General features: G+C 52.1%; 1 long non-coding RNA gene and 1 pseudogene across 3 annotated transcripts, besides 1 other annotated feature; both read left to right on the top strand.

The window, feature by feature from the left end:
• KRT18P23 (keratin 18 pseudogene 23) lies at positions 1,459-2,841 on the top strand (annotated as a pseudogene).
• LINC00207 (long intergenic non-protein coding RNA 207) lies at positions 3,876-6,985 on the top strand. 3 transcript variants are annotated; one of them, NR_028409.1, is made up of 5 exons: positions 3,876-3,977; positions 4,133-4,199; positions 5,036-5,124; positions 5,912-6,028; positions 6,575-6,985. It is a non-coding gene; the product is annotated as a long intergenic non-protein coding RNA 207 (long non-coding RNA). The 3 variants fall into 3 exon arrangements; NR_028410.1 differs by lacking the exon at positions 4,133-4,199 and having other exon boundaries at positions 5,036-5,160; NR_028411.1 differs by lacking the exon at positions 4,133-4,199.
• Positions 8,749-9,288: an enhancer, noted in NCBI's record as "H3K4me1 hESC enhancer chr22:44970093-44970632 (GRCh37/hg19 assembly coordinates)". NCBI's record gives its function as "activates a minimal SCP1, AML or CMV promoter by ChIP-STARR-seq in primed H9 embryonic stem cells {active_cell/tissue: H9 hESC(primed)}" and the evidence as "EXISTENCE:reporter gene assay evidence [ECO:0000049][PMID:30033119]".

Genomic DNA, 14,136 nt, shown 5'->3' on the forward strand with positions numbered 1-14,136 from the left:
TAGAAAATAACCATTTAACATAGCATAACATGAACTATTTGGATATAAACAAGAACTGTTCACTGGAAACTATGGAACATTGGCAAGAGAAATTAAAGACCTAAATAAATAGGGTGATACAATGTGTTCACGGAGTGAGAGACTCGGCATTGTTGTGATGGTTACTATTACATGTCAACTTGACTGGGCCAAGGGATGCCCAGGTAGCTGGTAAAACATGATTTCTGGGTGTATCTGGGAGGGTGTTTCTGAAAGATATTAGAATTTAAATCAGTAGACAGAGTAAAGACATCCACCCTTATAAATGTGGGTGGGCAAAAATGCAGAGGAAGGATGAATTCTCTTATCTCTCTCTTTCTCTTTATTTCTCTCTCTCTCTCTCTCTCTCTCTCTCTCTCTGTCTCTCTCTCTCTCTCTCTCCTTGAGTTGGAACATCCATCTTCTTCTACCCCTGGACACTAGAGCTCCTAGTTCTTGGGCCATCAGACACTGGAACAGACACCAGCATTCTTTTGCCCCTACCCAGTACTCAGGCCTTCAGACTAAATGACAGCACCTGCACTCTTGCATCTCCAAGTTGCAGGCTGCACATCATGGGACTTCTTGGCCTTCATGATTACGTGAGCCAATCCCTACAATAAATCCTCTCTCATATCCATCTAACTAGATATATACAGATAGAGAGATATACTATCGGTTCTGTTTCTCTGGAAACAGAAGAATCCTGAGAAAACCCAAACTAATGTAATTGCTAGGATGTCAATTCTCCCCAAATTCATCTATAGATGTAACACAATCCCAATTAAAATCCCAGCAGGCTTTTCTGGTAGAATTTGACAAGCCGATTCTAAAATTTGAAAATGCAAACAACTCAGAATAACCAGAGCCGTTTTGAAAAAGAAGAACAAAGTTGGAGGATTTACACACTTGGTTTCAAGACTTCTTATAAAGCTACAGTAATCAAGACTGTGGAATTTGCATAAAGATGGACATAGAGATCAATAGAAGAGAAAACAGACTGTAGAAATAGACCTACACATATATAGTCAATTGATTTTCAACAAATGTTTAAATAAACTTTTTTCAACAAAAAGTGCTGAAATGATTTCACAGCCGTATGTTTTTTAAAAATGAACCTTGAAACTTCACATTATATACAAAAAGTCACTTGAAATGCATCCTAGACCTAAGTGTAAAAGCTAAAGACATAAAACTTTTTCAAGAAGATATAGAAGAAAATCTTTGTGACTTCAAGTTTGGCAAAATATCTTACAAAAACCACTAATTATTAAAAGAAAAATTGGATATATTGAACTGCATCAAACTTATAAGTGTTTGTCCTTTAAAACACACTGTTCCAAAAATGAAAAGGAAAGTCACACACTAGAAGGAAATATATACAAAATATGCATCCGACAAAGGGCTTGTATCTAGAATTATGTAAAGAACTCTTGGTGGGCAAAACCCAAGCCCTGTCCTCTCTCCCTCCTCCCCGGACAGCTTGAGCTTCACCACTTGCTCCACATTCTCCACCAACTACCGATCCCTGGGCCCTGCCCAGGCGCCCAGCTACGGCACCGGCCGGTCAGCAGTGTGGCCAGCGTCTATGCAGGCACTGGGAACTCTGGTTCCAGGATCTCCGTGTCCTGCTCCACGAGCTTCCGGGGCAGCATGGAGTCCGGAGGCCTGGCCGCGGGGATGACTGGGGTCTGGCAGGAATGGGAGGCATCCAGAACGAGGAGACCATGCAAAGCCTGAACGACTGCTGGCCTCCTACCCGGACAGAGTGAGGCACCTGGAGACCAAGAACCGGAAGCTGGAGAGCAAAATCTGGGAGCACCTGGAGAAGAAGGGACCCCAGGTCAGAGACTGGAGCCATTACTTCAAGACCATCAGGAACCAGAGGGCTCAGAGCTTGGCAATTACTGTAGACAATGCCTGCATTGTTCTGCAGATCAACAACACCCATCTTGCTGCTGATGACTTTAGAGTCAAGTATGAGACAGAGCTGGCCATGTGCCAGTCTGTGGAGAGCAACATCCATGGACTCTGTAAGGTCAATGATGACACCAACGTCACTCGGCTGCAGCTGGAGACAGAGATCAAGGCTCTCAAGGAGGAGCTGCTCTTCATGAAGAAGAACCACGAAGAGGAAGTAAAAGGCCTACAAGCCCAGATTGCTAGCTCTGGGTTGACCATGGAGGTAGATCCCCAAATCTCAGCACCTCGCCAAGATCATGGCAGCCATCCGGGCCCAATATGACGAGCTGGCTTGGAAGAACGGAGAGGAGCTGGACAAGTACTTGTCTCAGCAGATTGAGGAGAGCACCACAGTGGTCACCACGCAGTCTGCCAAGGCTGGAGCTGCTGAGATGACGCTCACAGAGCTGAGATGTACAGTCCAGTCCTTGGAGATCAACCTGAACTCCATGAGAAATCTGAAAGCCAGTTTGGAGAACAGCGTGAGGGAGGTGAAGGCCTGCTACACCTTGCAGATGGAGCAGCTCAACGGGATCCTGCTGCACCTGGGGTCAGAGCTGGCACAGACCCAGGCAAAGGGACAGTGCCAGGCCCAGGAGTATGAGGCCCTGCTGAACATCAAGGTCAAGCTGGAGGCTGAGATCGCCACCTACTGCCACCTGCTGGAAGATGGCAAGGACTTCAATCTTGGAGATGCCCTGGACAGCAGCAACTCCATGCAAACCATTCCAAAGACCACCACCCACCAGAGAGTGGATGGCAAAGTGGTGTCTGAGACCAACGACACCAAAGTTCTGAGACATTAAGGCAGCAGAAGCAGGGTACCCTTTAGAGAGCAGGAGGCCAATAAAAAGTTCAGAGGTTAAAAAAAATAAAAGAACTCTTACAACTCAATAATTTTAAAAATCCGGCTGGGCGGGGTGGCTCACGCCTGTAATCCCAGCACTTTGGGAGCCTGAGGAGGGCGGATCACCTGAGGTCAGGAGTTCTAGACCAGCCTGGCCAACATAGTGAAATCCCCTCTGTACTAAAAATACAAAAATCTAGCTGGGCGTGGTGGTGCATGCTTGTAATCCCAGCTATTCAGGAGGCTGAGGCAGAAGAATCACTTGAACCTGGGAGGTGGGGGTTGCAGTGAGCAAAGATCACGCCATTGCACTCCAGCCTGGGTGACAAGAGCAAAACTCTGTCTGGAAAAAAAAAAAAAAATTAAAAGTTCCCAAAAATGGGACAAAGATTTAAACAAACACTTCACCAAAAAAGATACATAAATGGCAAATAAGTACATAAAAATCATCTTCAACACCATTAGTCATTGGGGGAGGGGAGTACACATTTTAGTCACAGCAAGATACCACTACATATCCACCAGAATGGCTAAAATTTAAAGACCCTAACAAGTGTTGACAAAGATACGGAGCAACTAGAATGCATACATTGTTGGTAAGAATGTGAAATGGTACAATTGCTTTAAAAATCAATATGGCAATTTCCCGTAAAGTTAAACAAAATTGCTGTGACCAAACAATTCTATGTCTAGTTATTTATTCAATTAAAAAAAAAAGCAAGCACATGTCCACATAAAAACTTGTACAAGAATGTTCATAGCACTTTTATTTGTGATAGCCAAGAACTATTAAGAACTCAAATGTCCGTCAAGAGGAGAGTGGATAAATATTCCATTCTAAACCATGGAAGATCATTTAACCACAGAAAGGAGCAAACCCCTGAGGCCTGCAATACATGGATGACTCTCAAAAACATTCTACTAGGTGACAAAGCCTGATATAGAAGAGTATGTGCTGTGTGATGTCATCTATATGAACTTCTAGAACAGACAGGGCTCCTCTATGCTGATAGAAATCGGAACAGCACGGCCTGCAGGGGATGGGGAGGACAGGCGATGGAGACGGGGATCAGATGGGAGGGTGACCTGGTGAGAGATTTTCCAGCTGGCAGAAATGTCCTCTACCTTGAGGGAGGCGTGTGACATGGGAGTAAGTTTGCCAAAATTCATCAAACTGTGCTAAGATCTGTGCACTTCACTGAATATAAACGTCATTTAAATGTCTACTTCATTTAAAAAACAAAGAAGCTGATTGGAAGTGCTGAGCCCTTGGGTAGCGTTTTCTGACTGCGGTCTCCACTGCAGGTGATCTGGCGGATTGCTTCCCCGGGGGGTCACTGGGGGTCAGAGTGTGAGGATTTCCACTAGGAAGGTCAGTGGAACTGACCCCAACCAAAATGATCCCCCAGCTCCCCCCTGCTGCACGTGAGGCCTGGCTGCCGGTTTTCCGGGGGCTGCAAGGAGAAAGAGGCGGGGGTCTCCAATACTCAGTACATGCCCTGCTTTTGGAGTGGCATCCCCCAGTCCAGAGGCCTCTGCCAGACCCTTTCTTGATAATAAATCTTGGGGTTTCTGCCAGGCTCAGGGAGGGGCAATCTCCCAGTTGTGTAAGCAGTGGGAGTGGATAGCTGTCTCTGTCTCTGTCCCTCCCGTGAGAGGAAGACTAACTGCTGTTGTTTGAAACAATCCTCCTTCACTCCCCTCCAGAAATATCTGGCATCTCCATCCTCCCAGCCCATTGTTGCTTCTCATCTTTGCATGCTGCTGGCCGGCCATGTTTCAGCTTCTCAAGCTCACCTAGTGGGTTACGGCTCATCCACCAGGTTTCCAGTCTCCAAAATGTTGGTGCTTGGGCCTCCTCCCCTTTTCTCTTTCTGCTTGAGGGTAATGTCCGTAAAGTGATCTTTACCATCATTTTAGTGAGGGTTCAAGAAGAGGCAAATGTACATGTGTGCATCTGTGCCACCATCTTTGTCAGAAAGTCCAGTCTTTGCACCTTTTATCCTCATGGTTGCAATGTGGCTGCTCCTGCTCTGGGCATCAGATCCACATTCCAGGCAGGAAGAAGGGTGTGTGCCCCTGAGACCATCCCCTTTTATGGGAAATTAAACTGGCAGACTTCCTCTTATGTCCATGGCCACTCCTAGCTGCAAGGGAACCTGGTAACACCTATTTTTAAGGGGGCAAACTTTCACTCCAACAAAACAGGTTCTGTTTAAAGAGGAGAATGGATGGTTACACATCCTGCTTGGGATCCAATCACTGAACCAGAGGGGAACACCGTGCATGATGGGCTGGTAAGGCGTGGGGGTCAGTACAGCATGACACAGAAGGTGAGCTGGCTCCTTGAGGGAAAAACAAAGTGCTGGCCCCAGAGGCAAGGAAGGGTTGCTGGCGGGCAGAGAGGACGCTGTCCGGAGCCCACAGTAGATTCTCCTTGATCATTCACTCCCAGTTCCCTTCCTGCTCCTAGTTCAGTCCCTGACTCCTCTTCTCAGTGCTGTCACTGTCCCTGTCCTGGGACCAGGGTAGGGGATGGGAGGAGAGGTCTGCACGTTGCTGAGCCTTGTGGAAAGGTGACCGTGGACCTCTGGGAGGATGATCTCATCACTTTCTGAAGGAGGCGTCGAGCTGAGATGCTAACAATAGCCAAGCACGATGCCGGCCTGATTGGAGAGGCTAAAAAAAGCAGCTCATTCCAAAGCCTCATCAGGGAAGAAAAGGGCCACGAAGGCAGGTTTGCAGGGCTTTAGGGAGGAGGGGGAGAGGGATGCAGAGGGATGAACTGAGTGGCCTGAGTCTCAGCACAGCTGTGGCCATGGGCTGCCTCCATGTCCAGGAACACCAGGTCTGCCATGCACCACCCACCTGCCCCCATGTTTGCACAGGGCACCGGGGAAGACCTTCAGCCCTACTGGGCTACCCCTTGAGTACCCTCTCCTCCCACATTGGAAGGTCTTCTGCTTCCTGGAGCTTGGCCTGCCTCGGGAGGAGGAGAAAATGGTCCATGTCCCCAGAGAGCCCATGATGTGCCGGCCTAGGTGAGCACTCTTCGCACCTCATGCCATGGAACTTTTGCCACAGCCCTACCCACTTTACGGATGAGGAAATGGAGGCTCGGGAGATGAAGCTGGCAGACTTCCTCTGGAACTTCCTCTGGACATCTGGAGGGACGTCCTGTCAGCAGAGCAGGCTGGACTGGTGAGTTTCCTGCTGCTGGGAGTCCTGGCTAATGTGTTCAGCCCCCACTGACCTCTCTGTGCCCTTGATGTTTTTGAGCCTCATGGTCTGCCTCCCACCAACATCTTCTGTCTCCTCCCCCATGCCCCAGTGGCAGCTGGTGTAGAGGGTGGCAAATGACAACCTCAAGGCCAGAGAGGACCATAACATGCCCACAGCCACACAGCCAGTAACAGGCAGAACTAGGGCTGGAACCCACATCGCCTGCCTTCTGGCTTCTTCCTTACACCATAGCACAGCAGAGACAGCATCAGAGGCGAGGCTGGACAGGCCAGCTAAAGGAGGGTGCTCGGACCCTGCCCCATGGCCAGCAGCACCATGCCTAGCTTTCCGCCATAAGCCTAGAGAGAAATAACGAGGCCCGAACTTATCTGCACTGAAAAGGCAAAGTTACAAATAAAGAACGGCTTCAAGCCCGATGATTGGAAACTTAGCTGCGTTGCCATCTGTCGCAAATGCCACCGCGTTCTTCGTAACCCCCGATGACAATTTCCTCTTCATTTTCAGCTTCACAAAGAGGATGCAGCCCCACCTCCCAGCGGGAGTCAGTTCTGCTCTGAGACGTGAGGCTCAGAATCAGATGAAGACTCCTGCTGCTGCATCTTGAAGATAATGATGCTGTTGCTCCCGGCTGGAACCACAGCAGTGGCGATGAGTGAACAGCCAGCAGAGTGGAGCGGCCACACTGATACAGGTGAGGCTCCAGCACTGCCGCAGCCCAGGGCCAGGCAAAACCGCCTTCCTATCCCCCGGGAGCCGAGGCCTCCGAGATCGGCGCTGGGAGGTCGCACAGTGCAGGCAAATCACACGGACCTCAGAGCAGGGTCCCTGGCCGTGAAAACTCAAAAGACACAGTCTTTAAAATAAGGACAGAAAACTGTATTTAGTGCCACAATAAAGCTGTGTCACAAACTACCCAAAACTTGGAAGCTTCAAATAAGTGTTTATTTGACTCACAGTTCAGCAGTTTCAGCTGGGCTCTGTGGCGCGATTCTTCTGGTCTTGGCGGGGCTCACCCACGTGTCTGGTGGGCGGCTAGCTGCTGGCAATGAGCCTGAGTGCTCCTCACCCTCCCAGGCTGAGCTGGGTGTGTCCTCGTGGCAATGGCAGAGGTGCAGGAGAGCAAGCAGAGGGTACACAGCCCCCCGAGACTCAGCTCAAGGTGGGCCACAGCCACTTCCGCTTTGTCCTGTTGACCAACATGGATCACAGGGCCAAGCCCAGAGTGAGAGGTGGGCAGGCCAACCCAGCCCCGGTGAAACGGGCAGCTCCAAAGAAGGTGGGAGAGTGGGGCCATCAGTGTGACCTAGCGCCAATGCCTGTCCCCAGGGCTATAATCTGGAGGATTAAGTGAATGAAGGGTCATGAAAACACCTTATGAACAAGTGCAGAGGTCTCCCACATCCAGTCACCAGTGGAGGCTGCCTTGGTGAGTCCAGGTGCCATCTCTGCACCGCGTCCCAGCCTTCAGCCTCTGGCCCTCTGGGCCGGCCTTCTCAGAAGAGTCAGCTTGCTCATGCTGAAGCACAATTCTGATCATGCCACTTCCCTGCTTTAAGCTCACCCACAGCTCCCCACTGCCCTCTGGGCCTCTCTGATTCATCCTGGGCTTGCCTCTTGGGCCTCAATGTCCCCTTTTATCCCCTGCCTCAGGGCAACACCAACAGAATGGGACCTATGCTCTCTCCTGACCATGGACCTTTGCACAGGCAGCTCCCTTGGCCTGGAATTTTTGCCTCTTATTATTTCTTTCTCTTTTTTTTTTTTTTTTTTTTTTTTGAGGTGGAGTCTTGCTCTGTCACCAAGGCTGGAGTGCAGTGGTGCCATCTCAGCTCACTGCAACCTCCGCCTCCTGGGTTCAAGTGAGTCTCCTGCCTCAGCCTCCTGAGTAGCTGGGATTACAGGCGCCCGCCACCACACCTGGCTAGTTTTTGTATTTTTAGTAGACACGGGGTTTCACCATGTTGGCCAGGCTGGTCTTGAACTCCTGACCTCAGGTGATCTACTCACCTCAGTCTCCCAAAGTGCTGGGATGATAGGCGTGAGCCACCAGGCCCGGCCTGCCTCCTATTATTTCTGCACCCATCACTCAGGCCCCTGCAGCCTTCCTTGACCCTCCATCCAGGGTCAGGTGCCTCCTCTTGGCTTCCACCACCCAGGGGCTTCTCCGTGTCCACCACAGGCCACACTGTGGAACTGCTTACCCTGTCTCTGGAATGCCAGAACATTGTCAGATCCATCTTCAAGCTCCCATTGCCCTGCACAGGGCCTGGCACACAGTTGGTGCCTAATAAATGTTCCCTCCACCTTACCCTATCTGATCTTTGGAGCGCTGGGTGAGGGCAGCATCATGAGGTTGAGAAGCAGGAGAAGGCTTAAAGATGGGCTGATTTATAGATGGGGAAACTGAGGCCCAGAGAAGGAGAGGAGCTTACCTAGGGATACAGAGAAAAGTTATTCATTCATTCATTCACTCAACAAATTTTTATTACACACCTACTGTTTGCTGGGGAACATAGAAAATACAGAAACCCCTGCCCTTGTGAAGCCCACAGTCATCAAATAAGTCAAGAAAAAAGCAAATATAAAATTGCAATTGAGACGTGCTACAAAGAGAATTACTCAGAGCTGGGAAAGCCTTCCTGGCAGAGATTGCCAAGAGCCTGCCCAGTGCCCCTCCTTCCCTCTCCTTAGAAACTGACTCTGCCAACCGGGTGAGGTGACTCATGCCCGTAATCCCAGCACTTTGGGAGGCCAAAGCGGGTGGATCACCCAAGGTCAGGAGTTCAAGGCCACCCTGGCCAACATGGCAAAATCCCGCCTCTACTAAAAATACAAAAAAATTAGCCATGCATGCTGGTACAAGCCTGTAACCCCAGCTACTTGAGAAGCTAAGGCAGGAGAATCCCTTGAACCTGGGAGGCAGAGGTTGCAGTGAGCCGAGATCACTGGGGGTGGGGAGGAAGAAGAGGAGGAGGATGAAGGAGGAGAAAGAGAAGGAGGGAGAGGAGGACCGGTAGCTGAATGGCATGAAGATGACACCACTGCAGGATGGGCCCCAAGGACCACGCCACAGCGGGGGCAGCCGTCATATTGGTGGGCTTCCTGATGGATGGTTCATGTGGGATGGGATTGTTATGGTGATAGGGCAGGCTGCTGAGCCGGAAGGGGCTTGTGAAGGGAACTGCAAATCGGAAGAGGACGGAGCCCACGGTGGGAGCTGGGTTGAGACACCCATCCTGCCCTCCAGGTCCACAGTGCCCTCCCCAGCCCCTGGGACGTGTAGGGTGCCCCCGCCATAGCGCGACTGCCCATCCCCAGAACTGGGAGAGCCGAGAAGCCCTCTCCCCAAGACAGAGCCCTGCGGTCCCCAGCCACAGGCCCTAGGGAGTTCCAAAAGCCTCCCAGGCAATTTACCAGAGCATGTAGCCAGCTAATAAGGTGACTGGATCCTTTGTTCAAAAGTTATCTTTAGACAAGAGCATTTATCAAGTTTAATTAACGTGTCACGGGCTGCAGTGTGAGCGATGGCTCTGAAAGCAGCCCTGATAATACTAATTTTTCTACATTAATGCCAACTCGGCACTGAGTCCCAAGCAGGAAATAGACCGTCAATGCTAACACCACCGAAAAAATAGAGATTTCCCTCCCTAAATCAAATTAAATGTGTTGTGGATGCCTGAGTGGTGTGTGGGAGGCTAAGGTGGGGAGCCTGGGAGGCTCTGGCTGAGAAGCCAGGGTGCGTTGTAAGCTGCCCTGCATCCTGTGGGCTGGGCACCTCCCACCTAGGTCCCACCTGGAGTGGAATCTTTGAGGCAGGTTGGTGTCCTTTCCCCAATTTTACAGAAATAGATGCTGGGGTTCAGGGAGGCCCTGTGAGTCATCCAGGCCACACGGTTTTATAGAGTCTGGCACCAAGATCTGTTCTTCCTCCATCTCACGAGACCCCCAGGCACATGTAACTGCTCAGTCAGTAAACGCTCGCCCAGCACTTACTGTGAGCAGGCACGATTCTAGGTGCCCAGCACCCAGCAGCAGGCAGAGCAGACAAGAGCAACTTCTCCTGGAGCCAATGTGCTGCTGGGACACAGAGGAGGAGGAGGATGACAAGGAGAAGGGGGATGGGAGAAGGAAGAGGAGGAGGAGAAGAAGAAAGAAGGGAGGAGGAGGAAGAAGAGAGAAGCAGAGGAGGGAAAGGAGGAAGAGGAAGAGGGAAAGGAGGAAGAGGAAGAAGGGAAGGAGGAAGGGGAAAGAAGAGGAGGAGGGGGAGGAGAAAGAGGAGAAAGAAGGAGAGGAAGAGAGGGAGGAGAAAGGGAGAAAGAGGAGGAGGAGGGAGGAAGAGGAACAAGAAGGGAGGAGGAGAAAGAGGAAGAAGAGGAAGAAAAGAGGGAGGAGAGGGAAGAAGAGGAGGAGGAGAAAGAAGGGGAGGAAGAGAAGGAGGAGAAGGGGAGAAAGAGGAGGAGGAGGGAGGAAGAAGGAAGGAGGAAGAGGAGGAGGGGGAAAAAGAGGAGGAGGGAGGAGGAAGAGGAGGAAAGGGAGGAAGAGGAGGAGGAGGAAGAGGAGGAGGGAGGAGGTAGAGGAGGAGGGAGGAGGAAGAGGAAGGAGGAGGAGTAAGAGAAAGAAGGAGGAGAAAGAGAAGGAGGCGGAAGGAAGAGGAAGGAGGAGGAAGAGGAGGAGGCAGAGAAGAAAATTAAGTACTGCACCTGCACGTGTTGCCATGTGCTAAGAAGAGATTAGAACAGGATAACGGTCAGGAGAGATGTGAAGTGCTGAGAGGCCACGGGAGATGGGGTGGCCAGGGAAAGCCCTACAAGGAAGTGGCATTTGGGAAGATGCCCAAATTAGAAGGAGTGGGCACAAGAGTAACTGGATCAATGGCATCACAGGCAGAGGGGACAGCAGGTGCCAAGGCCCTGAGGCAGAAGTGAGCTTGGTGCACTGGATGGACGCCAGGAAGCCACCGTGGCTGGAGCAGAGAGGAGAGAGTCGGTCCCCAGCCCTGGGAAAGGGGAGGCTGTGATGGCACTGGCCTGTGCAGTCAGGGTCCTGTGTGGCCAGGTGTGTGGGAGGAACAGCTCCTCACTGGCCTTGCAGGCATCTGAGGCTCAGCAGGATGCCTGCTTTGGATGAGCAGGGCCATTTTGCCAAGCCCTGAGCAGAAGCGTGTGGGCAGCCAGCTGGGATGGAGACTGAGGGAGCTGTGGGGCAGCCAGGTGCCCGTGTGGCCCAGCTGTGGTCTGCTAGAAAGGAGTGCAAAGCTGGGGGGATCCTCTCTCACTGGGGGTGCAGTCTAGGCCCTAGAAACCCTGAGGCACCAGCCTGAAGACAGAAAATGGGCCAGAACCACTCAGTGAGGTTGTCCAGAACTGAGACCACTTTCCCTGCAGAGCATGTGGGGACCGAACAGGCGATCTCAGAGGGAGCCTGGTCCTCATAGAGGTGGGGAAAATGGGCACCGGATCACACCACGGCACAGAGGGTGGAGCAGCCCAACCTAGCCTGGGATCCTGCTTCCATGGACCAGCCGTGTGACCCTGAGCAAGTCCCTTCCCACCTCTGTGCTTCCACGATCTCATCTACGGAAGGGCGAGGAAATCTCGGACTCTTGGATTTGTTGTAAGGAATTGACAACCTCAGACAGGGGAGGTGCCCAGCCCTGCACTTGTCCCAGAGCCCTTGGAAAGTGGAGGCCATTGTCATTAGCACACAGAACCCTTGGGGAGACCAGCAAATAACTAAACAGTAGCAGGCGCGTCCATTTCCTCTGCTGGGTCCTGGGAATAACTCCAGGCCGGTTGAAGGTAAGATCCCAGAGGCATGCTACACAGGGGCAGACTTCAGCTCAGTAGGGACTGAGGGACCCCATGAGGGGCTTACTGCCTGTGTGGAGGTGAGCTCCCCGTCACAGGAGGATGCCAGCAGGGCAGGAGTGGGCTGCCTGCATTAGCTGAGTTCACGCAGAATGGCCTCTGCACTCCCTGACTCAGGTCCCAGGACTGGAACGCCCTCTAGTCCTCCAGCCCCTGCCCATTAGCGTTAACTGTGGTCAGGGCCACCTCACCCCAAGGTCGCGGCACATTCAAACCCGGCCCTTCTGTCTGCCTCCCTGGTATGGCGTGGAGCTCCGGCCCCCACTCTCCCTGCACCTCCGTCGCTACCCATGTGTCTCATGTCCTGAGATGCTCTCCTTGTTCTGAAGAAGCCTTTCTCTCATGCTGGCCCCTGTCCCCATCCCTTCAAACCCTCAAAATCCCCAGTCGGGGCTACTATGCCATAGACCAAGGCTGAGCTTGGCAGAGGGAACTAGTGGCTGGCACGGCCTAGACCAGAAGGAGCTGGAACCGCAAGCCACGGCGCCCACCAGCCAGCATGCACCATTCCCCGTGGGGACTTTACAGCTGGGCTCCCCCCATTCCTGGCTCTTCTCCCCGCCCACTGCTGATGCGCAGTGCTCGGAGCATGAACTTGATTGGGGCCTGAAGTGCAAGTCTGAAGCTCCGCAGAAACCGCTGCGCCTGGCTCCCCACTCTCGCTGGCATCTACGCCTTCCCTTCCCAGCTTTGGGTAGTGACGCTGGGGCTCCACAGGAGTTACAAAATCTTCAGAGTCCCTGTGTATGGTGGGTTCGGGCACATGCCCCTCCCCCCCACTCAGTGCCCCTCCCTCCTGGGTCCCGGCTCCCAGCAGAGACCCCTCTGTAGGTCTCAGGTGTCACCTGCCCCTGCATGTACAGACAGGCTCCAGGAAGGCCAGGTCACAGCCTGCGGCACACCAGGAGCATTGAACAGGGAGCTGGGAGCAGGTGCTGTCCTAGCACCTCTACAGCTTTGCAGGCACTTTGGGCAAGTTGCTGTCCCCCTCTAGTCCTCAGTTTCTTCATCTGTAGAATGAGGAGTGAGAGGAAACACCCTGGGCCCTGGATTCTCCAGGTCTCAGCATTTCTAAGTAATTGTCCTGGGCCAGCTCTTCCTAAGCCCTGGGTCAAACCTTAGGGAGCAGAGGAGACATGAGCTGATGTTTTCATCCAGCCACCTGCTTGCAAGGGGCAGCAGAGAAGGCTTTGTTCTTCAGGTGTGGGGCCCGAATCAAGGAAGAAATGAAGAAGCGAATCCTTCCTCGAGGGCATAACTCCCCGCCCTGAAGCCTGGAGTCATCCCTAACACTCCCTGGGGCATCCAGCCTGGGGATTCCTGGGAGGTTTCCTGTGGCCTCCTGGGCTCTCTCTGTCCCTTCCTCATCTCCCTGATACTCAGCTGGTCTCCGTCCCTCTGGGAAATTGATAACAAGAGCGCCTCCCCTTTCCTTTACCTGAAGGTACCGCCTAACGGCTTATGATGTCAACAGGGCTGTGCGATCCCCTGACAAATCCCTGCCCAATCTCATTTGTAGTCTTCACCACAGTGCATGCTGGACAATTTTGGCTCGGAGGCAGGAGAAGATGCTCACACAATCATGTCCAGCTAAGACCCCATGACCTTGGGCCTGGGCACTGCAGAGCCCCTCATTGGACTCTAGTTGCTCCCTCCAATCTCTCCTCTGAACTACAGCCCCCAGCCACCTGGCATCCTCCAAGGGCACCTCACTGCCCATGGGAAGCTCTCTCTCCCTACTTCACCAGTCAGAATTGGTCTAGCTACATAACACAAAAACCTGAAATAAGAGAAGCTTAAATGAAATAGAAGCTCATTCCCCATCCTTAAAAACTCAGAGGTGGGCCTTTCAGAAGTGGAGTGATGGCTGGTCCTTTATCCAGAATGCTGGCATTGCTATGTCTGCATCACCATTCTCAACACAAGGCTTCCGTCCTCAAAGTCGTCTCATGATCCAGGACGGCTGCTGGAGCTCCAGCCATCACATTCTCCTTGCAGATTGGAAGGAAGAGGAAAAGCAGACAGTTAACAAGGGCCACTCCCCAAGGGGAGCCAGTTCCCCTTAAGCATCAAGTCTGCTTATCTTCTTAGCCAAAACTTCATTCTGAGGCCACATCTGTCTGTAAGGAGGGCTGGCAAAGGCAATGCTTTGTTCCCAAAGCCGTGTGCCTATCAAAAGCTCCAGGCCTGTTTGACCCC

This window comes from Homo sapiens, chromosome 22 (assembly GCF_000001405.40).
Source record: "Homo sapiens chromosome 22, GRCh38.p14 Primary Assembly".
NCBI classification, from domain to species: Eukaryota; Metazoa; Chordata; class Mammalia; order Primates; family Hominidae; genus Homo; species Homo sapiens.